Source organism: Homo sapiens, chromosome 22 (assembly GCF_000001405.40).
Source record: "Homo sapiens chromosome 22, GRCh38.p14 Primary Assembly".
NCBI classification, from domain to species: Eukaryota; Metazoa; Chordata; class Mammalia; order Primates; family Hominidae; genus Homo; species Homo sapiens.
Window position 1 is genome coordinate 18,149,746 of NC_000022.11, and position 27,725 is coordinate 18,177,470.

The window sequence follows — 27,725 nt, forward strand, 5'->3', positions numbered from 1 at the left end:
CCCCATCGCTACTAAAATACAAAAATTAGCCAGGAGTGGTGGCGCATGCCTGTAATCCCAGCTACTCCGGAGCCTGAGGCAGGAGAATCGCTTGAACCCAGGAGGCGGAGTTTGCAGTGAACCGAGACAGCGCAACCGCACTCCAGCCTGGACGACAGAATGAGACTCCGTCTCAAAAAAAAAAAAAAAAAAAAAAAGCGAGGGCTGGAAGTCTGGAGCAGGTGCGCGGCTGCAACGGCAGCCGCGGGAAGCTCGGGCCGGCAGGGTTTCCCCGCACGCTGGCGCCCAGCTCCCGGCGCGGAGGCCGCTGTAAGTTTCGCTTTCCATTCAGTGGAAAACGAAAGCTGGGCGGGGTGCCACGAGCGCGGGGCCAGACCAAGGCGGGCCCGGAGCGGAACTTCGGTCCCAGCTCGGTCCCCGGCTCAGTCCCGACGTGGAACTCAGCAGCGGAGGCTGGACGCTTGCATGGCGCTTGAGGCAAGTTCGGGGCTCATTTTGGAAGTTTTCTTTCTAGCACAGACATCCAACTCTGCTCCTATGCCAGTCAGATAATTAAGGAATTAAGTAATAATTGTGCTCTGCAAATTATGATAGTGATCTGTATTTACTACGTGCATATATTTTGGGCCAGTGAATTTTTTTCTAAGCTAATATAGTTATTTGGACTTTTGACATGACTTTGTGTTTAATTAAAACAAAAAAAGAAATTGCAGAAGTGTTGTAAGCTTGTAAAAAAATTCAAACAATGCAGACAAATGTGTCTCGCAGTCTTCCACTCAGTATCATTTTTGTTTGTACCTTATCAGAAATGTTTCTATGTACAAGTCTTTAAAATCATTTCGAACTTGCTTTGTCCACTGAGTATATTATGGACATCTTTTCATGGCAGGACATATAGATGTGTTAATGGCATTAAAAATAAAACAAAAAACTGATTCGGCCGGGTACGGTGGCTCACGCCTGTAATCCCAGCACTTTGGGAGATCGAGGAGGGAGGATCACCTGAGGTCAGGAGTTACAGACATGGAGAAACCCCGTCTCTACTAAAAATACAAAATTAGCCTGGCGTGGTGGCGCATGCCTGTAATCCCAGCTACTCGGGAGGCTGAGGCAGGAGAATCGCTTGAACCCGGGAGCGGAGGTTGCGGTGAGCCGAGATCGCACCGTTGCACTCCAGCCTGGGCGACAGAGCGAAACTGTCTCAAACAAACAAACAAAAAAACCTGATACATGGTATGGGAAGTACATTGTTTAAACAATGCATGGAGATTTAGGTTGTTTCCAGTTTTTACTGGCACAGATACGGCAATGAATATAATTTTATGTATACATTCATACAAATATATCGGTGGAAAATTCCTAGAAGTGGAATGGCTGGGTCAGTGGGCATTCATATTGAGAAATTGGAAGGATGTTGTCAAACTCTGCAAATCAGAGTATTTTAGTCTTAACCTCTCTTCTTCACACCCTTTTCCTTGGAAGAAAGCTAAATTTAGACTTTTAAACACAAAACTCCATTTTGAGACCCCTGAAAATCTGGGTTCAAAGTGTTTGAAAATTAAAGCAGAGGCTTTAATTTGTACTTATTTAGGTATAATTTGTACTTTAAAGTTGTTCCAGAAAACAAGGCAAATACTGAAAAGCATTTCATCTGAAGTTTCTTTCTGGTATTGAACAGAGTTGGATGGAGAGTGAATGCAGGTTACCGATGTGTTCGCAGGAACAAAACGGGAGGGAGAGTAACACAGGTGCACGGCTTCATATTGATTTATCAAAGAACTTGCTTTTGGACTGTTAAAAAATGTGTTGCACAGTTCTGACACTTTTACACAATGATGAGCTTACAAAGGGGAAAATGCTTAACATAAACATAGTTTCAAAGAAGGTAAGTCCTAGTTTTTCCACGAGCTGTTTTTTTTTTTGAGAGAGAGTAGTCCCAAAATTTCCCTATTATGTGGTTTTTCATCCAAAGTGTTGTAATCCGTGTGTTCTAACCCGCATATTACGATTACTCAAGAAATGCAAAATAGGCCGGGCGCGGTGGCTCACGCCTGTAATCCCAGCAATTTGGGAGGCCGAGGCAGGTGGATCACGAGGTCAGGAGATCAAGACCATCCTAGCTAACACGGTGCAAACCCATCTACTAAAAATAAAAAATATTAGCTGGGCGTGGCGGCAGGCGCCTGTAGTCCCAACTACTCGGGAGGCTGAGGCAGGAGAATGGCGTGAACCTGGGAGGCGGAGCTTGCAGTGAGCCAAGATCCGGCCACTGCACTCCAGCCTGGGCGACAGAGGGAGACTCCGTCTCAAAAATAAAAATAAAAATAAAAAAAGAAAAAAGAAATGCAAAATAATGTGAACACGTCATCGAGACTGCGGTCTACAATTGTGGTTGCCATGATGGGGTGGGTCGGAAGACACCGAGGCTGCTTGAATCATGTTCCTGGCAGGTTAATTTTGTTCCTTTTAGGGCATCTAAATGTTGGAGTTGGCTTTCCTGGCAGAGAGTCCAGTTGTGAGTGGAGTATTGGGTGGAGGCCCCACCCTCCCCAGGTTTTCTGCAGCTTGTTCCTGGCTCTTCTGGGGCTTCTCTGAGGACCCCGATTGGTCCTGGGGCTTCTTTAGTGGTGGGCCTGGGCCAGTTCCTTCCGTTGCTCACCTCTCCCCGAAGCTTAAGGATAACATTTCGGGAAGATCATGAGAGAACGTGAACCAAAAAAAAAAAAAAAAATTCAGGTAGGGTGGGAGCTAAGTTAGTTTAGTATTTGGGATTTTTGTTTTGTTTTGTTTGAGACAGAGTCTCAAACAAAGACCCCGCGCCTGGCCTGGGGGTCTTTTTTTGAGTCAGCAGTTGAGTTTGAAAATCCCCTTCCTTGGAATCCGCCCAGGCTGTTTTCTCTGGTGGATGCTTATTGCCCCTGCTAACTTCAGCTGCGGTCTCTCTGCTCGCCTTGCCCTCCCCATCCTCCTTAGACCTTTTAAGCTTCACTTTCCTTTCCTTGCTGCCCCGCCTCCCTGTCTCCCCAGTGTGATCTACCCTGAAAGGCTGCTGTATTTTGTTTCCCTTTGGGACCGAGCCTGCTCAAATGATCTGCTCCATGAGGTTTTACTGCTATATCCTACTGAAGTATCTGGGAGGTCTTGGCGGAGAAGAGGACAACATCTTGGAAAATGCAGCCTGGAACCTCTCTGCTCTCTTTCATCAGCTTTCCCTCAATGATGAGCTCAAAATCCTCTTTCTTGCTGATGGAATTGTCTGCTGTCATCATTTCAGTTGAGTCCTCCTAGGCTGGGCCTTGTAAGAAGAACAACTGTTTATAACTATTGAAAGTCAATATTTACTAAGAAAAAGAGGTTGTTGTTATCTGAGCCATCCAACATGAATTTAAGAATATATTCCAGGCTGGGCGCGGTGGCTCATGCCTGTAATCCCAGCACTTTGGGAGGCCGAGATGGGTGGATCACCTGAGGTCAGGAGTTCAAGACCAGCCTGGCCAACATGGTGAAACCCCGTCTCTACTAAAAATACAAAAATTAGCCATGCGTGGTGGCACATGCCTGTAGTTCCAACTATTTGGGACACTAAGGCAGGGGAAGTGCTTGAACTCGGGAGGCAGAGGTTGCAGTGAGCTGAGATTGTACCACTGCACTCCAGCCTGGGTAAAAAGAGTGAAATTCCATCTCAAAAAAAAAAAAGGAGACAGGGTCTTGCCCTGTTGCCCAGGCTGGAGTGCCGTGGCACGATCATAACTCACTGTGGCCTCAAATTCCTGGGCTCAACTGATTCTCCTGCCTCAGTCTCCCAAGTAGCTGGGACCACAAGTACATGCCACCATGCTAGGCTAATTTTATTTTTATTTTTAGAAAATAAAATATTTTTTATTTTATTTAGGCAACATGCTATGTTGCCTAGACTGGTCTTGAACTCCTGGCTTCAAGCTATCCTCTTGCCTCAGCCAACCAAAGTGCTGGGATTGCAGGTGTGAACTGCCATGCCTGGCTTTCTATTCTCTATTTCTAGGAGATAAGCTTTTTGAGCTTTCACATATGAGTGTGAACATGTGGTATTTATCTTTCTGTGCCTAGGTTATTCCACTTAACGTAATGTACTCCAGGCTCATCCATGTTGATGGGAATTACAGGATTTCATTCTCTTGTAATGGCTGAATAACATCCCATTTTGTGTATATAGTCCACATGTTCTTTATCCATTCCTCTTTTGATAGACACTTAGGTTGATTCCGTATCTCGGGTATTATGAGCAGTGCTGCAGTAAACATGAGAGTGCAAATATCTCTTCAACATACTGATTCCCTTTCCTTTGGATATATATTCAGCAGTGGCATTACTAGATCATGTGGTATATCTATTTTTAGGTTTTTAAGGAATCTCCATACTGTTTTCCATAATGGCTCTACTAATTTACATTCCCACCAATGATTTGGTTGAGTTTATTCCTCACTCTGAGCAGCATGTTAGCTGGACTTAAACCCCGTCCAGCTTGTCTACATCTGGCCCATCACTTGCCAGTGGGAAAGGCACTTACTTCTTTGTATCTCAGTTTTCTCATCTGTCAAATGGAAATATAACAGTAATTAATTCACATGGCTGTGTAAGGATAAATAAGACAGTACATATAAAAGGCTTTCACCTTTTATAAGAAATAGTGCTTCGATGTTACCCATTATTATTATTTTATTTCATCTTATTTATTTATTTAGATACAAGGTCTCATTTGTTGCCCAGGCTGGAGTGTAGTGGCACAATCATAGTTCAGTGCAGCCTCAAACTCCTGGCCTCAAGTGATCCTCCTCCTTCACCCTTCTCAGTATTTGGGGCCACAGGCGTGCACCACTATGACCATCTAAATTTTTTTTTAGAGATGGGGTCTCAGTATGTTGCCCGGGCTAGTCTTGAACTCCTGGGCTCAAGTGATCCTCCCACCTCAGCCTCCCAAACTGCTGGGATTACAGGCCTGAGCCACCATGCCAGGCCTCATCTCTATATCTTTAGGGTTAGTCACTGGCACCTTAATTTGTTCATTTGGTGATGTCATGTTTCTCTGATTGACCTTGATCCTTATGGCTGTGTGTCAATGTCTGTGCATTGACATAGGTACCTAAGCCAGTCTTCATTGCCTGGCTTTGTTTGGGCTCGTCTTTCATCAGGAAACCCATAGGAGATTAGGGAGAGGCTGATTGGTCAGGACCCTAAGCCCATGACTGCTTCAGCTGTTGTAGTGCTGGGGGGTGCTCTAAGCCCAGCATCACTGTGGTTGGAATTCTTTGGCCACTGAGGCTGACACAGCCCTGGGTTATGCCTGAAGGCCATAGCTGCCGAGACTGGCACAGCACTGGGGCACGCCCAAGACCCACAGCTGTGATGGCGTGCTTGCTGCTGCTGAAGTTATTCAGGGCCCAGGGCCACTGTAGTTGTCAGGTAGTGATGTGGGCCAGATCGCCAGTCCCTGTTACTGGGGCTGTGGGTTCTCATCTGGCACTAGGGTGGGGTGAGATCTGCCTGTGGGTACTGGTCTAGTATCAGGGTGATGAGGCTCTGCCCAGTACTGGGTTTTACTGTAGTGAGCCTAGTCCTGGTGACAGGTGACAGCGTGCTGGCAGCCATCACAGCCCTCGCTCGCTCTCGGTGCCTCCTCGGCCTTGGCGCCCACTCTGGCCACGCTTGAGGAGCCCTTCAGCCCACCGCTGCACTGTGGGAGCCCCTTCCTGGGCTGGCCGAGGCTGGAGTGGGCTCCCTTAGCTTGCGGGGAGGTGTGGAGGGAGAGGCAGGGGCGGGAACTGGGGCTGCACGCGGTGCTTGTGGGCCAGCGCGAGTTCCGAGTGGGCGTGGGCTCGGCGGGCCCGCACTCGGAGCGGCCAGCCGGCCGGCCTGCAAGCCCCAGGCAGTAAGGGGCTTAGCACTTGGGCCAGCAGCTGCTGTGCTCGATTTCTCGCCGGGCCTTAGCTGCCTCCTGGCAGGGCAGGGCTCGGGACCTGTAGCCCGCCATGCCTGAGCCTCCCCACCCCGCAGCCATGGGCTCCTGTGCGGACCAAGCCTCCCCGACCAGCGCCGCTCCCGGCTCCACGCCGCCGAGTCCCACCGACCACCCAAGGGCTGAGGAGTGCGGGCGCACGGCGCGGGACTGGCAGGCAGCTCCACCTGCGGCCCAGGTGTGGGATCCACTGGGTGAAGCCAGCTGGGCTCCTGAGTCTGGTGGGGACTTGGAGAATCTTTATGTCTAGCTAAGGGATTGTAAATATACCAATCGGCACTCTGTATCTAGCTCAAGGTTTGTAAACACACCAATCAGCACCCTGTGTCTAGCTCAGGGTTTGTGAATGCACCAGTCGACCCTCTGAATCTAGCTACTCTGGTGGGGACTTGGAGAACCTTTGTGTCCACACTCTGTATCTAGCTAATCTAGTGGGGACGTGGAGACGTTTTGTGTCTAGCTCAGGGATTGTAAACACACCCATCAGCACCCTGTCAAAACGGACCAATCAGCTCTCTGTAAAACAGACCAATTGGCTGTCTATAAAATGGACCAATCAGCAGGATGTGGGTGGGGCCAGATAAGAGAATAAAAGCAGGCTGCCCGAGCCAGCAGTGGCAACCTGGTCAGGTTTCCTTCCATGCTGTGGAAGCTTTGTTGTTTCATTCTTTGCAGTAAGTCTTGCTACTGCTCACTCTTTGGGTCCACACTGCCTTTATGAACTGTAACACTCACCGCGAAGGTCTGTAGCTTCACTCCTGAAGCCAGCAAGACCACAAACCAACCAGGAGGGACTAACAACTCCAGACGCGCTGCCTTAAGAGCTGTAACACTCACCGTGAAGGTCCGCAGCTTCGCTCCTGAAGCCAGCGACACCACGAACCCACCGGGAGGAACGGACATCTCCAGATGCGCCGTATTAGGAGCTGTAACACTCACCGCGAAGGTCTGCAGCTTCACTCCTGAGCTAGCGAGACCACAAACCCACCAGAAGGAAGAAACTCCGAACACATCCGAACATCAGAAGGAATAAACTGCGGACATGCCCCCTTTAAGAACTGTAACACTCACTGCGAGGGTCCACGGCTTCATTCTTGAAGTCAGTGAGACCAAGCACCCACCAATTCCGGACACACTGGGTTCCAAGGCGAAGTACTCCACTTACCTCTTCTTCCCCCAAGCAAACAGTGTCTCTCTTCACACAGCTGTGCTGGGTTGGGGGAGGGTACACGGGTACCCCTATGGCCACTGAGGCTGAGACAATATTGAGTCACACCCCCAGAATTCATGCCATGAGACCAGCCCAGCACCAGGATGTGCCTAAGGCCGACAGGTAGCTACAGCCTGCCTGCAGCTAAGGTTTATCTGACTGCTGCAGCTGGCCGGCAGTGTTGCGGGCCAGAACACGAGGCTGTTCTGCCAGGGCCGCAGGTCCCCTTGGGTGTTGGGCGGGTTGAGAGGCTTCCCCTGTATGCCAGCCTGGCATCAGGGGCTGAGAGTTCTTGCTTAGTGCTGGCTTTTTACTGAAGTGGGCCTGGTCCTGGGTTGTAAAGCAAAGTCCTATGCGCGCTTCCCTGTCCTTTCCCAAGAGGGCGCTCCCGGTTAGGATTTGGCAGTCGGCTCTGAGGATGAATGGAAACGCCTGGGACCCAGGTTAGGGGATGTGTAGCCTAGCTGTCATTTCCAGCCTAGAGCTCTATGAGTCAGTCTCCCCAAACATTTATCTCCCTCTAAGACCTGCTCTTTGGCATCAGAACGGATTACATGAATACACATTCCTCCTTCTCTAATTCTTGCCTACCCGCATTGTATTTTCACAGAGATTCCATCGTGCCTGGCTCACATAAGCGCTTCCTGGAAGTGAAGTCGTGCTGTCCTGAACGCGGGCCAGGCAGCTGCGGCCTGGGGGTTTTGGAGTGATCACGAATGAGCAAGGCGTTTGGGCTCCTGAGGCAAATCTGTCAGTCCATCCTGGCTGAGTCCTCGCAGTCCCCGGCAGATCTTGAAGAAAAGAAGGAAGAAGACAGCAACATGAAGAGAGAGCAGCCCAGAGAGCGTCCCAGGGCCTGGGACTACCCTCATGGTCATTAGACCCCTCCCGTTTTCCTCTTCTTGACTGCATGTAAATGTTCGGCTCACCCCCTCCGCTCTGAAGCCGCAGAGCTTTGTATTCGACGGCTCATGCTTTCCTGTGCCTGAGTTTCTGCATCTTTTAGATGGGGATACAGCCTGGGCCATAGTGAAACCCTATCTGTAAAAAACAAAAACAAGGTCGGGCGCGGTGGCTCATGCCTGTAATCCCAGCAGTTTGGGAGGCCGTGGCAAGTGGATCATGAGGTCGGGAGTTTAAGACCAGCCTGGCCAAAATGGTGAAACCCCGTCTCTACTAAAAATACAAAAATTAGCTGGGCGCAGTGGCAGGTGCCTGTAATCCCAGCTACTTAGGTGGCTGAGGCAGGAGAATTGCTTGAACCTGGGCGGCAGAGGTTGCAGTGAGCTGAGATCACGCCACTGCACTCCAGCCTGGGTGACAGAGTGAGACTCTGTCTCAAACAAACAAACAAACAAATGGGGGTAATAATAGTACCAAGCACATAGGGTTGTTGGGAGGATTAAATGGGGTCATCTGTGGAAACTGCTTTAAGCCAGTGCTGGGATTCTAGAGGCACTTAGCATTAGTTCCCATCTTTACTGCTACCTTTGTATGGGTCTGTCTGGAAGCAATGTGCTCCTGATAGTCTGGGAGTAGAAATCTGTGCTCACCTGTGACCCCAGGTTGTTACTTTCTTACTGTCCTATCTTGTAAGCCAAAGCCCTTTCCCCAAGAATCCTGAGATTAGTGGTACTTCCCTTGTGGGGTCTGCTGAGCCTAAGGTTGGGTTGGAAAAGAGGAGGTTGGTTGCTAGGGGTCAGACAAATGTTATCTTTTGTTTTTCTCGTATTCTTATAAGTTCCTTCTGCCTTTCAGCCTCTCAGGGTGACACTGGATTAGGTGAATCTTCCCCAAAGTAACCTTCTGATTTATTTCCTGCCTCCCTGTAGTGGGAACTGGGCAGAGACCTCTCCGCTGGACTCCAACATAGACATACTGGGGAGTCCCTCTTATCCCTGAGCCCCACAGATGCACATTTGGACTTAGCTCCGTGGAGAACGATTTGAATGAAAGGAAGCCATATTCTCAGTTATGCTTTCTCTAATGTTTTTTTTTCTCTCCCAACAATTGCTCATACTACTCATTTGGCAGTGAGTAATATATACTTTTGGTGACATCTCACTTTTCCTAATGGACTATATTAAAACTTTTCTTGTTATCGAACTTTTTGTGTGTGTGTGTGTGAGATGGAGTTTTGCTTTGTCGCCTAGGCTGGAGTGCAGTGGCACGATCTTGGCTCACTGCAACATCTGCCTGCCAGGTTCAAGCAGTTCTCCTTCCTCAGCCTCCCGAGTAGCTGGGATTACAGGCATGCACCACCACACCCGGCTAATTTTTGTATTTTTAGTAAATATGAGGTTTTACCATGTAGGCCAGGCTGGTATTGAACTCCTGACCTCAGGTGGTCTTCCCGCCTCGGCCTCCCAAAGTGCTGGGATTACAGGTGTGAGCCACTGTGCTTGGCCCTTGTGATAGAGCTTTTTAAAGATTCATGTTTGATATCTTCTCTCCGATTTGTTTGCAAGCTGAATGAACACTTCGTACTTGAGAGACTTTACAGGACTTCATGTCCTTAGTAGCTTTAAGAAAAACATTAGATTTTTGTCAACTTTTTTTTTTTTTTTGAGACAGAATTCCACTCTTGTTGCCCAGGCTGGAGTGCAGTGGCATGATCTTGGCTCACTGCAACCTCTGCCTCCTGGGTTCAAGCAATTCTCCTGCCTCAGCCTCCCAAGGAGCTGGGACTACAGGCACCTGTCATGACACCTGGCTGATTTTTGGATTTTTTTTTTTTTTTTTTTTTGAGATGGAGTCTCGCTCTGTTGCCCAGGCTGGAGTGCAGTGGCGTGATCTTGGCTCACTGCAAGCTCCGCCTCCTGGGTTCACACCATTCTCCTGCCTCAGCCTCCTGAGTAGCTGGGACTACAGGCGCCCACCACCACGCCCGGCTAATTTTTTTTGCATTTTTAGTAGAGACGGGGTTTCACCGTGTTAGCCAGGATGGTCTCGATCTCCTGACCTCGTGATCTGCCCGCCTCGGCCTCCCAAAGTACTGGGATTACAGGCGTGAGCCACCGCACCCGGCTGATTTTTGGATTTTTTTTGTAGAGACATGGTTTTACCATGTTGGCCAGGCTGGTCTCGAACTCCCGACCTCAGGTGATCCGCCCACCTCGGCCTCCCAAAGTACTGGAATTACAGGCATGAGCCACCATGCCCAGCCTTGTCAACTTCTTTACCCTAGGCCTTGCCCTCAGCATTTTTTTCTCTTCCCCTTATAGGCCTGGTTGGTTTACACAACATTGGACAGACCTGCTGCCTTAACTCCTTGATTCAGGTGTTCGTAATGAATGTGGACTTCACCAGGATATTGAAGAGGTAAGACTGTTCTTCAGGCTGATGAGCATTTGTATTATTTCTTTTTCCTTTTTTTGAGATGGAGTCTTGCTCTGTTGCCCAGGCTGGAGTGCAGTGGCATGATCTTGGCTCACTGCAAGTTCTGCCTCCCGGGTTCAAGCGATTCTCCTGCTTCAGTCTCCCGAGTAGCTGGGACTAGCCCGCCACCATGCCTGGCTAATTTTTTTTGTATTTTTAGTAGAGACGGGGTTTCACCGTGTTAGCCAGGAAGGTCTCGATCTCCTGACCTCGTGATCCACCCACCTCAGCTTCCCAAAGTGCTGGAATTATAGGCGTAAGCCACTGCACCTGGCCTGTATTATTTCATTTTTAATATATTCAGTTATTCACAGTGACTTGGACTTTTTGAGATCTTCTCTCAAAAGCTGGCAGAGGAAAGATTGGCTTCTGCATATTCTGGCCTACACATTATTTCTAAAACTTCTTAGGTTGGTCTGGGGTGCGACCCAAGTATTGGTACTTTTTTTTTTTTTTTTTTTTTGAGATGAAGCCTCACTCTGTCCCCAGGCTGGAGTGCGACGGTGCAATCTCGGCTCACTGGAACCTCCGCCTCCCGGGTTCAAGGGATTCTCCTGCCTCAGCCTCTCAAGTAGCTGGGATTACAGGCGCCCGCCACCACACCTGGCTAATTTTTGTATGTTTAGTAGATATGAGTTTTCACCATGTTGGCCAGGCTGGTCTCAATTTCCTGACCTCAGGTGATTTGCCCACCTCAGCTTCCCAAAGTTCTGGGATTACAGGCATGAGCCACTGCGCCCGGCCAGGTATTGGTACTTTTTTAAAGCCCTCTTTGGGTGATTTTAAATGCGGCCAGGATTGACAGCCACTGACTTGGTTAAAAGACAGAGTTGGGACTAGACCAAAGTCGGAGAAGGAGTAAGTCAGTGGGGAGTACACACCCCTCCTTCCACCAACACTCACACAATGCACTCTCTCCCTCTGTCTCTCTCTATCACTCCTTTTCTGCCCTGTGCTCTCTCCTTTTTCCCATCCGAAAAATGCCTGTGATTAAATGAATCATTGCCAAACCACACGGACAGCCTTTCATGTTGCCTTTCTTCCCAGGACCTAACCCAGCATGTGCCTCTGCAGTCTGGAGAGCTTTAGGCTGGACATTTTGCTGCTTGCCCGAGATGTGGAGCCAGGACCTCGTGCATCTGCCGTCTGCTCTAGCACGATTGCTGGGCAGGGTGCAGAGGGGCCAAGGCAGCAGTCATGCTGATCCCCCTCTCTAGAGGGTCCCCTGTAGAGCAGATTCACTCACATGGTGCTTCTCAACCTTGACCACACATTGAAATAATCTGAGGAACTGAAAAATTCTGATAACTGCCCGCGCCCCGCCCCCCGGACCCAGAATTCTGGTTTAATTTGTATGGGAGTGGCCTGGATATGAAGATTTAAAATTTCTCCCAGGTGATTCCAGTGTGCACCTAGCTTTGAGAACTACATGTAAGGAGGTTTCTGGCTGTTCTTGTGTGGCAGGATCACGGTGCCCAGGGGAGCTGACGAGCAGAGGAGAAGCGTCCCTTTCCAGATGCTTCTGCTGCTGGAGAAGATGCAGGACAGCCGGCAGAAAGCAGTGCGGCCCCTGGAGCTGGCCTACTGCCTGCAGAAGTGCAACGTGCCCTGTAAGATACCCTCCCACTGGGCTCCTGGCTGCTGATCCAAAGGGGATGGGAAGCTTAGAGAGTGAAGAGAGGAACTAACGGGCAGTGAAGCAACAAGAAGCAAGTTAGGTAGCCTGGACCCCTCAGATTATAGAGACATTTGTGTAAGAGGCACACATCTTTGGAGGTGCAGAATTGATATTATTTATGGACATTTTACTTCCATACCTAACCTTTCTCTGCCTCTCAGTAGAGTAAGTGAAGGCATCTCCTCCAAGCTTATTCCACCACAGTCAGGGAACTGCAGGAAAACAGAATAAAGGAATAAAAAAGAGAAAACATGTTCTACAAAATAATTCACAAATAGGTTAGGTTTTTTTTTTTTTTTTTAGATAGCTATATTGGGTTGTGCATCACATACTGTAAAATTCATCCATTTAAAAACATACAATTCAAAGGTTTGTAGTGTATTCACAGAGTTGTGCCTCCATCATCACAATCTAATTTCATAACATTTTCATCACCCCCAGAAGAAATCCTACACTTACGGGTTTTCCCTTGTGTATAATACATTGCTTTTCTCTTGCTGCTTTCAGAATTCTTTGTCTTTAACTTTTGAAATTGATTATGATGTGTCTTGATGTGGGTTGCTTTAGATCAGTCTTATTGGTGTCCTTTGGGCTTCCTGGATGTGGATTTGTATTTCCTTCCCTGGGTTGGGAAGTTTTCAGTCATTATAGGTATGCGTTGCTTACCAACAGGGATACGTTCTGAAAATGCATCAGAAGGTGAATTTGTCATTGTGTGGACATCATGGAGTGCACTTACACAAATTTAGATGGGACAGCCTACTACACAGCTAGGCTGCATGCTATGGCCACTGTGCTCATGTGGTCTGCCATTGACTGAAATGTTGATCTGCAACTCGTGACTGTTATTTCTTTGGATAAGCTTTCCATCTCTTCTCACTCTCCTCCTTCTGGGACTCTGATAATGCCTATTTTGGTCGGCTTGATGTCCCCTAACTCTCTTAAGATATCTTCACTCTTTTTCATTCTTTTTCATTTTTGCTCCTCTGAATGATTTCCAGTGACCTATCTTCTAGTTTGCTAATCCTTTCTTCTGCTTGATTTAGTCTGTTGAGCTTCTCTTTTGAGCTCTTATTGCAGTTATTGTATTCTTCAGCTCTGTTATTTCTTTTGAACTTTTTTCTGTCTCTTTGCTGAAATTCTTACTTTGTTCATGCATTGCTGTCCTAGACATGGTAAGCATCTTCATGATCATTATTCTGAATTGTCTGTAAGGTAAGTCACTTATCTTCATTTCACCAGGGGCATTTTCTGGAGATTTATCTTGTTCTTTTGCTTGGAACATATTTCTCTGTTTCTTCATTGTTCTTGATTCTCTGTTATTTTCTGTACTTTAGTTAAGAAAAATACCTCTCCCAGGCTGGGCGCGGTGGCTCACGCCTGTAATCCCAGCACTTTGGGAGGCCGAGGTGGGCAGATCATGAGGTCAGGCGATGGAGACCATCCTGGCTAACACGGTGAAACCCTGTCTCTACTAAAAATACAAAAAATTAGCTGGGCGTGGTGGCGGGCGCCTGTAGTCCCAGCTACTCGGGAGGCTGAGGAAGGAGAATGGCGTGAACCCGGGAGGCGGAGCTTGCAGTGAGCCGAGATTGCGCCACTGCACTCCAGCCTGGGCCACAGAGCAAGACTCTGTCTCAGAAAAAAAGAAAAAAAAAAAGAAAAAAGAAAAAAAGAAAAATACCTCTCCCAGTCTTGTCCCACGGGCCTTGTATAAGAGACGAACTTACCAATTAGCCCTGCCGGACACTCGGAGCACCTGTTGACCCTTTGTGTTGTCCAGACTGTCATCTATGTTGTTAGCGGCCCTCAGGAGATTAGAATGTGTCAAGTCCTGTCAGTGCCCTAGACAGGGGAGATAGAAACCAGCCCCTTGAGGTGCAGGTGGAGACGTTGGGGCATTAAATGTGTGTTCCAGTTTATTCTATCCTCAGGGAAAAGCTGGGAGCATGAGTTAATCCGCCACTTGCTCTGCAAAACGCTGGACAGAGGATCTGTGGCAAGTGCCTGCACTCATATTGAAACTGCACACTCCTTCACGCATTGTTTTACTCTTTGTCACCCCCAGGGGCCTAGCGAATGCTGGCTGCTCTCTGCTTAGAGACGGACAGGTTAGTTGGAAGCTTGACGCTATCTGTTGAGCAAACCAGTGGGAGCAGCTGTGGAGGTGCTCACCTGCCTGTTCAGGGTCTCAGAGGAGCACTGGTTTCCTGCTCTGTCAGCTCCCAGATGCATAGAAACCCCAGGGCAGCAGCTGCACTGTGCAGACAAACTCCTTCTAGGGAGAAAGTAGGAGCCGGGCCTTTTTGCCTGTTCACGCTGCACTGGGCCTGGGGGGATGTTCTTTGGTCTCTGTGCCCCTGTGGGACTTACAAATACAGAGCCTTGTCAGCTCCCAAAGCTCGGTGGTCGAGGAGCTAGACCTTCATTTGAGAGGGGTAAATGTGTACTCAATGTGTGAAGTTAGAGACCTGATTTTACCATACAGCAGGGGGTGGGAGAAGGCATGGGACTTGCCCACAGGCCTGTCCAGACTCCTGGAAATCTATTGTTTACCTGCCTCATTGGCTCCAGGTGCAGGCCAGTTATTAATAGAAGCCCATCCCTCGGGCAACAGCTAGGAGAGCCCGCAGACATATCCTTCCAGGGAGAAACTGGAAGCCTGGCATTTCTGCCTGTTTGCTCTGTGCTGAGCACAGCTGCTGGAAGTGCTCACGTGCCCGTTTAAAACTGCCTCTTTGCCCTCTGTGGTCGCAGAGGATTCATAACTGCTGACCCATGTCTGCTCCCAGAGCTAGGTGACCCAGCAGCCAAGCCCTTGAGTGGGAACTGCAAAAGCTGGGGCTGCCTATGTGTGGTCCAAACCCTCCCCTCTCCAGGAGAAAGCTGGGAGTAGGGATTCCTTCCTCACAGTAAGGTACTGTGTCTGGGGTGGGGCTTGTGGTGCGAGTGTGTCTCAGCTTTTCCAACCGGTTGCGATGTGGGTGTTCTCCCCATTGCCCCCTGTGCAGGCCTCTCTCAGCTGGTTTCTGGGTTTCTTTCAGAGGGAGTTGATCTGTGTGTAGATGAGAGTTTTACCGTGTGTCCATGGGAGAAGGGGAGCACCAGGAGCCTCCTTCTCTACCATCTCGCTTGTGTCACCCTCTGTGATTCTTTTTATACATAGTTGAATTTGATTCACTAATATTTTGTTGAGGAATTTTGCATTTATGTTCACGGGAGATACTGGTTTTTAGGTTTTTTTCTTACAATGTCTGTCTGGTTTTGGTGTTAGGATAATGCTGGCCTCAGAGAATGAGTTAGGAAGTGTTCTCTCTGCTTTTGTCCTCTGGAAGAGGTTGTAGGGAATTGGTATAATTTTTCCCATAAATGTTTGGTAGAACCCATCGTTCACTAGTGAACCCATCTGGGTGTAACTGAGTACTCCCATTTTCTAAGAGATAGTTATATTAGTTTTCTTATTACTTTCTTTTCACTTCTCCTCTTCCCATCCCTCACCCCTCACCGCGGCCGTGTTTCCTGTTTCCTGTTAGCCCTTTAGAAATGCAAATATCACCTTTCGCCTACCCCTCTCCAGACATTCCCTGCTGGGCAAAAGGAAGAATCTGTAAATGGAGGTAGGCTGATGGAGGTTTGATTGAGAACGGGCAAGTTCTTCCAGCTGATCTTTCCTGAGACTTGGCAGTAGATTTGCAGCCCAAAGCATACCCACCAGGGAACTCTCCCTGCCAGGGGGTGGCTTCGAAACTTCCACCCTCTAGGGGTTTGTCTTTCACCCACTAGGAAGGCATGGAGAAAGCATGCCCACTCGGCCACTTTTCTGCCCGGAAAGGCGCCAACTCAGCTGCTGGGAACTTGATAACTGCCCGGTAGAAAACCGCCATTGCTCACTCCCCCCACCCCCACAACACACCTTATGAAAATGCCCCTCTCTCCTCCAAAGGAGAAATGGCACATTAAAAGGCAGGATGTGTCTTGCTCCTTGCCCCAGGCTGGCTTCAGAATAAATTCACATTTGTGTATAAAACCTTTTGTATCACATTTTTTTTTGTATCAGAGTTAGTTGAGCTCTACACGCAGTGAGCAGCTCCTCAGCTTTTCGCTGCATAGGTACTGTGTTCAGCTTTCCTTCCGTCCTCAGTCTGGAGAACCTCAATCAACCTAGCTCCAGGTTTATGGATTCTTTCTTTTGCCAGCTCTAATCTGCTATTGACCTCCTCTAGTACATTTTTCATTTCAGTTATGGTTCTCCTCAACTCAAGATTTCTGCTTGGTTCTTCTTTTATAGTTTTTTCTTTATTGATACTTTTTATTTGGTGAGGCAGCATTTTCACACTTTCTTTTACATCTTTTGACATGGTTTTCTTTAGTTCTTTGAACATATTATAACGGCTAAAGTCTTTGTTTAGTAACGCCAACATCTAGGGCTTCTCAGTGAAAGGTTCTACGATTGCTGTTTTCCTGGGTGGCCATGCTTTTCTGTTTCATTGTAGGTCTTGTCTCTTTTGTTGGAAAATGAACATTTTAGATAATGTAAGGTGGCAACACTGGACATCAGAGATCCCCACAGCAGGGTTTGTTGTTGTTGCTGTTTTATCGTTTCTGGGCAGTTCATGATTCTGTATTCGCCTTCATTGCTTTCTTGCATGTGGCCTTGTTGTCAGCCAGAGGGGAGGGATCTGAGCCCTCTCAGGTCTTACTTGGGCATGCGCCTGGCCTTCTAGATCCTCAGGAATGTATCAGTGCTTTTCAAAGTCCCTGTGGACATCTCATTCCCCAGGCTGAGTGCAGTGGTGACATCACAGCTCACTGTAGCCTCAACATCCTGGGCTCCAGTGATCCTCCTGCTTCAGCCTCCCAAGTAGCTCTGACTACAGGCGTGCACCGCTACTCTCAAGTACTTTTTTAAATTTTTTATCGAGACGGAGTCTTGCTATGTTGCCCAGGCTGGTCTCAAACTCCTGAGTTCAAGCGATCCTCCCACCTTGGCCTCCCGAAGTGTTAAGATTATAGGCATGAGCCACTACATCTGGCACTGGAGCTTAAGTTTTAAGAGGCGTTCTCAAAAATCAATACCAAACTTACTGTTCATTTATTGATCACTTCTTCTGTCGTGCCAACTTAGCCTTGCAGTGGGGTGGAGGGCTAGGAAGAGACAAAGTGATGAGTGTTCATGTGTGTCTAAGTACCAGGGCATGAGAAGCGACTCTGAAGACCTCACTAATTGGCTGTTCCTTTTCTCTGTGGCCAGTGTTTGTCCAACATGATGCTGCCCAACTGTACCTCAAACTCTGGAACCTGATTAAGGACCAGATCACTGATGTGCACTTGGTAAGAACCTAGAACCAGAGCACTCGGAAGCTTAAGATGCTGCTCATTTCACTCATTCAGCTGTTGTTCCCGTAGTGTGTAGAGGAATAAAAGAGTTAATCCCCTGTAATCCCAGCACTTTGGGAGGCTGAGGCAGGCGGATCACGAGGTCAGGAGATCGAGACCATCCTGGCTAACACAGTGAAACCCTGTCTCTACTAAAAATACCAAAAAATTAGCTGGGCGTGGTGGCGGGAGCCTGTAGTCCCAGCTACTCGGGAGGCTGAGGCGGGAGAATGGCGTGAACCCGGGAAGCGGAGCTTGCAGTGAGCCGAGATCGCGCCACTGCACTCCAGCCTGGGTGACAGAGCGAGACTCTGTCTCAAAAAAAAAAAAAAAAAAAAGAAAAAAGAGTTAATCCACATAAAACACTTATCACAGTTTCATAATATTGTTACTGGTATTATTTTGCACCTTTGTGAGGAGCTTCTGTCTCTTGGCTCCACCTTCTGGCAGTTGGCCTGACCTGGCTTATGGTGGTGTTCCCATCTCACCTCTCCGCTCTCCCTCTTGCAGGTGGAGAGACTGCAGGCCCTGTATACGATCCGGGTGAAGGACTCCTTGATTTGCGTTGACTGTGCCATGGAGAGTAGCAGAAACAGCAGCATGCTCACCCTCCCACTTTCTCTTTTTGATGTGGACTCAAAGCCCCTGAAGACACTGGTAAGGGGATTCTCTTGGTATTTGCTGCCCCTGTATGTGTTAGTCCATTTTCTGTTGTTATAACTCAATATCTGAGACTAGGTAATTTATTTCTTACAGTTCTGGAGGCTGGGAAGTCAAGGTTGAGGGGCTGCACCTGGTGAGGGCCTGCTTGCTGGTGGGAACTCTCAGAGTCCTGAGGCGAGGCAGTGCAGGGCATCACATGGCGAGGGGGCTGAGCATGCTAATGTGCCAGCTCAAATCTCTCTTCCTCTTCGTATGAAGCCACCAGTCCCACTCCCAGGATAACCGATTAACCCATTAATCCATGAGTGGATTAATTCATTTATGAGGGCTGTGCCCTCATGATGCAATAACCTCCCCCCCCCCTTTTTTTTGGAGACAGAGTCTTCCTCTGTTGCCCAGACTGAAGTGCAGTGGCACAATCTCAGCTCACTGCAACCTCCGCCTCTGGTGTTAAGTGATTCTCCTGCCTCAGCCTCCCAAGTAGCTGGGATTACAGGTGCCCACCACCATGCCCAGCTAATTTCTGTATTTTTAGTAGAGATGGGGTTTCACCATGTTGGCCAGGCTGGTCTGAAACTCCTGACTTCATGATCCACCTGCCTCAGCCTCCCTGGGATTACAGGCATGAGCCACCTTGCCCTCCCCAATTATCTCTCAAAGTCCCCACCTTTCCATACAGCCACACTGGGGATTCAGTTTCAACCTGGGTTTTGGGGAGGACAAACCCTCAAACCATTACACCACACAGCACAGTGTGGCCAATTCCCCCTTGCCTCTTTGATCTATCTCTGGCTTCTGGAAAGTCACTTATTTCATTTTCATGGCACTGGCCAATTTCTCCTTTGTTTGGCAAAAATGTTTTTCCCTCCTACCTCCACTTCCCTCATACTGCTCCCTTAATAGGAGCCCCCTCCTGTTTTGTTCCTCCAGTCAGTAGGTGCCCTTTGAGATCCTGCCAAGTGGACCACACCAGGCCAGGCATTAAGGGGGATATGAGGAGAACCAGAAGAAAAGCTGAAACCCTCAGCTGCAAAGTGTGGGGAGGCTGTAACTGATACAGTTTGGGACTGTGTCCCTGCCCAAAAATCTCCTGTTCAATTGTAATCCCCAGTGTTGGAGGTAAAGCCTGGTGGAAGGACATTGGATCATGGGGGAGGGTTTCTCGTGAATGGTTTGGCACCATCCCCCGTGGTGCTGTCTTTGTGACAGTGAGCTCTCATGAGATCTGGTTGTTTAAAAGTGTGGAGCCAGGCTGGGTGTGGTAACTCACGCCCATAATCCCAGCACTTTGGGAGGCTGAGGTGGGTGGATCACCTGAGGTCAGGAGTTTGAGACCAGCCTGGCCAACATGGTAAAACCCTGTCTCTACTAAAAACATAAAAAAATTAGCTGGGCGTGGTGGCGCAGCCTGTAGTCCCAGCTACTTAGGAGGCTGAGGCAGGAGAATCGCTTGAACCCGGGAGGCGGAGATTGCGGTGAACTGAGATCGCGCCCCTGCACTCCAGCTCCCCACTTGGTCTCTTGCACCTGCTCCTCCCAGGTAAGACACCTGCTCCTCCCAGGTAAGACACCTGCTCCTGCTTGGCCTTCCGCCATGATTGGGAGCTTCCTGCGGCCTCCCTAGAAGCAGATGCTGCCATGCTTCCGGTTGGCCTGCAGAACCATGGGCCAATCAAACTTCTTTTCTTATAAATTACCCAGTCTCAGCTATTGTCTCACAGCAGTGTGAGAACAGATGAATATAGTATTCTAGGTGGGAAATACCAACGCTGCTTTTTCCCTGTTCTCTTGGGTGGGACAGGAGGACGCCCTGCACTGCTTCTTCCAGCCCAGGGAGTTATCAAGCAAAAGCAAGTGCTTCTGTGAGAACTGTGGGAAGAAGACCCGTGGGAAACAGGTACTCATTCCCTAAATCAGACTCAGCTGTCCCTCGGTGCATATGGGGGATTTGTTCCAGGACCCCTGCTTTTACCAAAATCCACACACACTCAAGTCACACCCAGTCGGCCCTGTGGAACCCACGTATAGGAAAAGTCAGTCCCTCATCTATGCGGTTGTGCATCTGGGATACTTTATTTTTGATGAGCATTTGGTTGCAGATGTGGAACTCGTGCCTATGGGGGAGGGCAGACTGTATTTATTTACAACAATTTGTGTATAAGCGGACCCATACAGTCCAAACCCGTGCTGTTCAGGGGTCATCTGTCCTTCACTAGTCTGGGGTTGCCCCCCGTGGATTTCCTGATAGAATCATCAGAGGCCCCGAGGACACCCCATGGTGGGTGAGAAAGGGAATCTGGGTCTGGCTAGTATCTGGGACGCTGTGGTTCTGATATCTGGAGCCGTGGATGTGGCTTCTCATGTCGCATCACTGAGAGGGACTGCAGGAGGGCGCCTGAGAGCAGCCGGCAGGGCGTTTCCCTCCAGGCGAGACCAGCTCCCTGGAGCAGACGCGGTGGCTCCCTGGGTCCTGGTACCTGTGCAGAGCCCTGTGCCCTTGTGCCTCTTGTGGGGGGCCACATGGTGGTAGAATAGCCAAGTTTTGCATTATTCTCAGAGGAGCTCAGCAGATTCGGCGAACAGGAGCCTTGAACTCCGTGATGTCGCCCCGCTCCCCTCTTTTTGGGAAGAACGCGTTGCTAGCCCTGACATTTCTCTGACTCTCTCATTCCAAGTAGACTTCATCTCCAGAGTGATTTTGATTTTTCAGGTCTTGAAGCTGACCCATTTGCCCCAGACCCTGACAATCCACCTCATGCGATTCTCCATCAGGAATTCACAGACGAGAAAGATCTGCCACTCCCTGTACTTCCCCCAGAGCTTGGATTTCAGCCAGATCCTTCCAATGAAGCGAGAGTCTTGTGATGCTGAGGAGCAGGTGGGATGATCCCGACCTCCTTGCCATCCTGCCTCTCCCCAGATGCCATGTCCTTTCTGTTTTCCCTTCCTTCACCCCCAGTCTGCTAGGAGCCACCTGTTCCTCAGAGACTGTCCCCAGCCTCAAAAGCCTTTCTTCTTTCTAAATATTGGATTTGTGTTCATATGCCTCACAGCACTGAGGGACAGAATCCAGAATTCAGTAGGCTTCTTTGGAAATAATGTGGAATACATAGAAATGCATAGGCAAACATGTCATTGTGGGTTCATAGTACCAACCAAACTTTCTTCCTCAGATGGCCTGTGCCCACTTTGAGGATAATCATAAAGTAGCCAGTTGACTGGACCACATTTAATCAGAGTAAAGTTTAATTCACTTGTCCTGAGATAATAACTTATCAAGAGATTCTGAGAAAAAAAGAGACACAAGGCCAGGTGATGTGGCTCATGCCTGTGATCCCACACCTCAAAAGGCTGAGGCAGGAGGATTGCTTGAGCCCAGGAGTTCGAGACCAGCTTCAGCAACATAATGAGACCCCCGTCTCTCAAAAAAAAAAAAAAAAATTAGCTGGGTGTGGTAGCACAAACCTTTAGTCCCAGCTACTTGGGAGGCTGAGTTGGAGGATCACTTGAGCCCAGGAGTTTGAGGCTGCAGTGAGCTATGATCTATCATTGTACTCCAGCCTGGGCAACAGCGCAAGACCCCGTCTCTAAAAACAAAACAAGAAAAACTAAAAAAAAAAGACACAAATATCTTTTTTTCCATAGATTTGAAATGCTACATAACAAATTTTGTATTCCTGTATGTACGGGTCTATTTTTGGAGTGTCTCTTCTGTTTTATTGGTCTGTTTGGCTATTTATGCTCTAGAACCATGACATTTAGAAAATTAAGACCTGATAATATGTTACAATAGCTCCTATTATAACATGATTTCTTTACCTACTTAGGCCGTATACATTTCATAGGATTCTCTTTTTCTTTCCTTCTAGTTCTTTTTATTTCTACCTGCAGATTCTGCCCAATGAAGTGTATTTAAAATTGTTTTTCACTTAAAAAAGACTTTTTTGACTGGATGCAGTGGGTCACGCCTGTAATCTCAGCTCTTTGGGAGGCCAAGAGGATTGCTGGAGTCCAGGAGTCGAGCCCAGCTGGACAACAAAGCAAGACTCCATCTTTGCAACAACAACAAAAAAGACTTTGTTATGGAACATTACAAATAGATACCAAAGTGTGTAGTGAAGGAAGAGTTAGACAGTGAATCCTTGGCTGTAACAGTTACCAAAACTCATGGCAGGTCTTGCTTTTCCTATAACCCACCCTCTTGTTTCACCCAACCCTGTACTGGATTTTTTTGAAGCAAATCCCAGACATCATACTATTTCATTTATAAACACTTCATTATGTATCCCTAAAGAATAAGCACTCAAAAGATAATCATCTCCATCTTGCAATTCCTTAATAGCATCAAATATCTGGTCAACGTTCAGACTTCCTGACTGTTGTGTAATCTATGTGGTTTGTTTGACTCTAGATCCAAACAACGCCTACACTTGCATTTGGTTAAGTTTCTTTCTTTTCTTGAGTTCCTTTTAGATTTCCGCTCCTTTTCTTTTCCTTGCAGTTGATTTGGTTGAATATTTTTTTCATATGCCAGCACTGGCTGGTTGATATCTTTTAACATGTTCCTGTAACCCTTTTATTTCTTGTAAACTAATATTTAGATACAGATATTGCCCTGCATTTTGTAAAGTTCTGCACAAAGTCTGCAAATGGAAATAGGGATAATTTCAGCCTCCACTGTGGGTGACTCAGCTTTGCGTCTGCCGCCCTTGCCCTCTGTCTCCCCTCCCCCTACAAAAGACTTTTTTGGCTGGGTACGGTGGCTCAGGTTAGGGTCATTCCTGGGCTTGTGGAGAAACAGAACTGTGTTCTGATGATCCCCACCCCTCCCAGGGGAAAGTTCTAATCTTGCCTTGGCTTTGGGGGCCTCTCTCATGACCTGCCTTCCATCTCTTGCGTGCTCTGCCCTGCCAAGCTGCTGAGCCTTCGCAGTTCAGGATCCACACTCGGGAAAGCCCCTCCTGGAGGGTGCCCACTGGCTGTGGGTCGGGACTGTTTTCTAATATTCTAAAGTCCCAGAGTCGGGCCTAGTGTGGGCAGGTATAAATGTGTGAGGCAGTCGTGTTTGTGGTGGTGGGTGAACTGTCTCGTGCCTGTCTCTTTCCAGTCTGGAGGGCAGTATGAGCTTTTTGCTGTGATTGCGCACGTGGGAATGGCAGACTCCGGTCATTACTGTGTCTACATCCGGAATGCTGTGGATGGAAAATGGTTCTGCTTCAATGACTCCAATATTTGCTTGGTAAGAAACATCATCCACAATTGCCTCCTGCCCTGGATTGGCCACCTCTAGCAAATGCTGGGCTCAGGGCTGCGTGGGTCTCTGAGATCAAGACACACTGTGATCCTGCTGTCTGGGTGTGGGGCCTTTGATGAGGGTTCAAGCCTTTTTCGGTCTGAAGTCCCCATGTGGTTTGCACCTCTGTAAGGGTTCAATTCACTTCACTTCTAAGTTTTTGGTGCTCTAGGCTCATGCTCTGCAGCTTCCTGCTTTGTGGGAAATGTCTAGAGAGCAACGAGTGTTAGAAATATGTAAGTTAGGCCTCTGGGATAAGCATGACCAAGTTTAAACACAGGGACAAGGGCACTAAACATACTTCATTGCACAAGACATCCTGCTGCTGTTGCTCCAGGCTCTTGGGAGTTGCTAGGGGTGGGCTTGTCTGGAGGATGAGGGGCACATTATAGCATCCTGTCCTCTGTGGGTGCTTGTGTCAGCTGGCTGCTTGACCCCATTTGTTTCTGGCTTCCAGGTGTCCTGGGAAGACATCCAGTGTACCTACGGAAATCCTAACTACCACTGGTAAGAAACAGATTTGGGTAATTGGAGTCTGATGAGCTCACATAGGGTCCTTGGAGCTGCATGAAACGCCCATGGATTCCCCTGTTACTAACATGCTGATGGCTCACTGTCCGCCTCATCTCCAGCACTCACCCCACCACCCCATGTTTGCCTCACACGTCACACTCCAGGAATATTAAAGTACAGGTAGCTGCCAATCAGCCGTGCCCTCCATCTCCCGTCTGCTGTGCACATGCACTTCCTGGCCGTATTGTCCTCTCCTCGTTTACCATCTAGGCCAACTCCCCACTCATGTTTTCATACTCATGGCCTTTTCCTATCCTGTGAAGCCTTTGCTGATTCACCCAGATTCGTAGGGGCTTCTTGTATGGTTTTCTTTTCTTTTCTTTTCTTTTTTTTTTTTTGACGGAGTCTCGCTCTGTTGCCGGGCTGGAGTGTAGTGGCACAATCTTGGCTACTACACTTGGCTCCTCCTCCCAGGTTCAAGCGATTCTCCTGCCTCAGCCTCCTGAGTAGCTGGGACTACAGGTGTGTGCCACCACGCCCAGCTGATTGTTTTTTGTATTTTTAGTAGAGACGGTGTTTCACCATGTTGGCCAGGATGGTCTCAGTCTCTTGACCTCATGATCCACCTGCCTCAGCCTCCCAAAGTGCTGGGATTACAGGCATGAGCCACCACACCTGGCCTTCTTATATGCTTTTATTGCATTTGAGCATACCTCTTTTACAGCGAAGATCTTTTTTTTAATTTAATTTTATTTTTAGAGATGGAGTCTTGCTTTGTTGCCCAGGCTGGAGCACTGTGGTGTGATCATAGCTCACTGCAGCCTTGAACTCCTGGGCACAGGTGATCCTCCCACCTCAGCCTCCTGAATAGCTGGGACTACAGGCATACAGTCTGTACACCATGCTTGGCATATTTTAAAAAAATGTTTGTAGAGATGAGGTCTCGCTATGTTGCCAGGCTTGTCTCAAACTGCTGGGCTCAAGCCATCCATCCATTTCAGCCTGCCAAAGTGCTTGGATTATAGGCATGAACACTGCGCCTGGCCATCACACTGTTTTTTTGTTTGTTTGTTTGTTTGTTTTGAGATGGAGTCTTGCTCTGTCACCCAGGCTGGAGTGCAGTAGCAGGATCTCAGCTCATTGCAAGCTCTGCCTCGTGGGTTCATGCCATTCTCCTGCCTCAGCCTCCTGAGTAGCTGGGATTACAGGCGCCCGCCACCACGCCTGGCTAATTTTTTGTATTTTTAGTAGAGATGGGGTTTCACCGTGTTAGCCAGGATGGTCTCGATCTCCTGACCTCGTGATCCGCCCACCTCGGCCTCTCAAAGTGCTGGGATTACAGGCATGAGCCAATAAATATTTTTATAATCATTAACTACCGAGGAGAAGCTGGAGAGAAAAAAGGTGGATGAAGTTAAGGCAGAGAGACTTTGTAAGTTTCTTAGCTGAGCTTTTGGAGACTGTATATCAGAGATCCTATTTGAGGTGATTTTCAGCTACAGAGATAGGCCTGGTCATTTGAAAAATAATGGATTAGGTGAAGCTTGCGTTTGAAATCCTCCTTCTACTTTTCATCTTTCTCTCTTGTTTATTCTGAACATCCATCTTAGACACCCAATCTTTGTCACTTTGTGGTTGTCATTGATTTCCCTGTTATTGAGATCAGAGGTTGGCAGACTTTCTCTGTAAAGGGCTGGAGAGAAAGTACTTCAGACTTTGTGGTCTGTGCGGTGTCTGTTGCAACCACTTAACTCTGCCCTGTAGAGCAAAAGCAGCCGTAGACAGTACATGGGCAGATGAGCATGGCTGGGGTCCAGTTACATTTACTTGCAAAAAGAGGGTTGGAGACTGGGTGCGATCTCCCACCTTTAATCCCGGCAATTTGGGAGGCCGAGGCAGGAGGATCACTTCAAGCCAGGAGTTCAAGACCAGCCTGGGCAACAAAGCAAGACTCCATCTCTACAAAAAAATAAAAATTATTATAGCTAGGCATGGTGGTACACATCCATAGTCCTAGCTACTCAGGAAGCTAAAACTGAGGCAGGAGGGTCAGTTGAGCCCAGGAGCACGAGGCTGTGGTGAGCTATTATTGTGCCAGTGCACTCCAGCCTGGTGACAGAGCAAGAACGGTCTCGTCAAAAAATAAACAAAAGGCTGGGCACGGTGGCTCACGCCTGTAATCCCTGCACTTTGGGAGACTGAGGTGGGCAGATCATGAGGTCAGGAGATTGAGACCATCCTGGCTAACACGGTGAAACCCTGTCTCTACTAAAAATACAAAAAGTTAGCCGGGCGTGGTGGCGGGCGCCTGTAGTCCCAGCCACTCGGGAGGCTGAGGAGGGAGAATCGTTTGAACCTGGGAGGCGGAGGTTGCAGTGAGCCAAGATTGTGCCACTGCACTCTAGCCTGGGCTACAGGGCAAGACTCCATTAAAAAAAAAAAAAAAAAAACCAGCAAAAACCAAACAAAACATAATGCATGTTCTCTCTTATAAATGGGAGCTAAACATGGGGACTCATTGACTTAAAGATGGCAACAACTGGGAACTGCTGGATGGGGAGGGAGGGGAGGGGTGAAAGGCCAACTGTTGGGGAGTATGCTCATATCCACGTGACAAACCTGCACATGTGCCCGCTGAATCTAAAATAAAAGTTGAAAGTAGATTTAAAAAACCCCAAGAGGGCTGGGTTTGGCTTGTGTGTCCATAGCTTGTTAACCTCCGCTTTAGATATTAACTAATAGAAACATAGTGCTTATCTTCCCAGGCCACCTATTTTGTTCCTCTCCAAGGTGATGGATAGATGAAGGCCTAATCCAGCCGCCTGGAAGTTTGCTGACGCTTGTCCTGTCACGGATTAATGAAGCATTGTTTTCTGATGAAGGTTTCATGCCGCTGTGCTGATGTGTCTTCTCTTCTCTCTAGGCAGGAAACTGCATATCTTCTGGTTTACATGAAGATGGAGTGCTAATGGAAATGCCCAAAACCTTCAGAGATTGACACGCTGTCATTTTCCATTTCCGTTCCTGGATCTACGGAGTCTTCTAAGAGATTTTGCAATGAGGAGAAGCATTGTTTTCAAACTATATAACTGAGCCTTATTTATAATTAGGGATATTATCAAAATATGTAACCATGAGGCCCCTCAGGTCCTGATCAGTCAGAATGGATGCTTTCACCAGCAGACCCGGCCATGTGGCTGCTCGGTCCTGGGTGCTCGCTGCTGTGCAAGACATTAGCCCTTTAGTTATGAGCCTGTGGGAACTTCAGGGGTTCCCAGTGGGGAGAGCAGTGGCAGTGGGAGGCATCTGGGGGCCAAAGGTCAGTGGCAGGGGGTATTTCAGTATTATACAACTGCTGTGACCAGACTTGTATACTGGCTGAATATCAGTGCTGTTTGTAATTTTTCACTTTGAGAACCAACATTAATTCCATATGAATCAAGTGTTTTGTAACTGCTATTCATTTATTCAGCAAATATTTATTGATCATCTCTTCTCCATAAGATAGTGTGATAAACACAGTCATGAATAAAGTTATTTTCCACAAAAGGACTTTGCAGTTTTAACGGGGGGCAGTAGGGATTGTGCTATAGAAATTCAAAGGCAAGGGAAGTCACTTCTG

The 27,725-nt window shown here is 48.2% G+C and overlaps 1 protein-coding gene across 2 annotated transcripts, besides 5 other annotated features; it reads left to right on the forward strand.

Annotated features, from left to right (window-relative positions):
* Positions 166-485: an enhancer, noted in NCBI's record as "active region_18653". NCBI's record gives its function as "activates an Ori minimal core promoter by ATAC-STARR-seq in GM12878 lymphoblastoid cells {active_cell/tissue: GM12878}" and the evidence as "EXISTENCE:reporter gene assay evidence [ECO:0000049][PMID:35858748]".
* Positions 425-27,652, forward strand: USP18 (ubiquitin specific peptidase 18). Of its 2 annotated transcripts, NM_017414.4 has the most exons (11): positions 425-477; positions 7,813-8,075; positions 10,427-10,523; positions 12,045-12,190; positions 17,510-17,589; positions 18,145-18,291; positions 20,099-20,194; positions 21,008-21,175; positions 23,405-23,536; positions 24,048-24,097; positions 27,027-27,652. In NM_017414.4, the coding sequence occupies exons 2-11, from the start codon at positions 7,919-7,921 to the stop codon at positions 27,070-27,072; spliced, it is 1,119 nt and encodes a 372-aa protein (NP_059110.2). In that variant the 5' UTR covers positions 425-477; positions 7,813-7,918; the 3' UTR covers positions 27,073-27,652. The 2 variants fall into 2 exon arrangements, with proteins under 2 accessions (NP_059110.2, XP_006724137.1); XM_006724074.4 differs by lacking the exon at positions 425-477 and having other exon boundaries at positions 8,028-8,114.
* Positions 2,845-3,094: an enhancer, noted in NCBI's record as "active region_18654". NCBI's record gives its function as "activates an Ori minimal core promoter by ATAC-STARR-seq in GM12878 lymphoblastoid cells {active_cell/tissue: GM12878}" and the evidence as "EXISTENCE:reporter gene assay evidence [ECO:0000049][PMID:35858748]".
* Positions 5,577-6,078: an enhancer, noted in NCBI's record as "H3K27ac-H3K4me1 hESC enhancer chr22:18638089-18638590 (GRCh37/hg19 assembly coordinates)". NCBI's record gives its function as "activates a minimal SCP1, AML or CMV promoter by ChIP-STARR-seq in primed H9 embryonic stem cells {active_cell/tissue: H9 hESC(primed)}" and the evidence as "EXISTENCE:reporter gene assay evidence [ECO:0000049][PMID:30033119]".
* Positions 15,263-15,952: an enhancer, noted in NCBI's record as "OCT4-NANOG-H3K27ac-H3K4me1 hESC enhancer chr22:18647775-18648464 (GRCh37/hg19 assembly coordinates)". NCBI's record gives its function as "activates a minimal SCP1, AML or CMV promoter by ChIP-STARR-seq in naive H9 embryonic stem cells {active_cell/tissue: H9 hESC(naive)}" and the evidence as "EXISTENCE:reporter gene assay evidence [ECO:0000049][PMID:30033119]".
* Positions 15,953-16,641: an enhancer, noted in NCBI's record as "OCT4-NANOG-H3K27ac hESC enhancer chr22:18648465-18649153 (GRCh37/hg19 assembly coordinates)". NCBI's record gives its function as "activates a minimal SCP1, AML or CMV promoter by ChIP-STARR-seq in naive H9 embryonic stem cells {active_cell/tissue: H9 hESC(naive)}" and the evidence as "EXISTENCE:reporter gene assay evidence [ECO:0000049][PMID:30033119]".
* Positions 27,653-27,725: the final 73 nt, after the last annotated feature.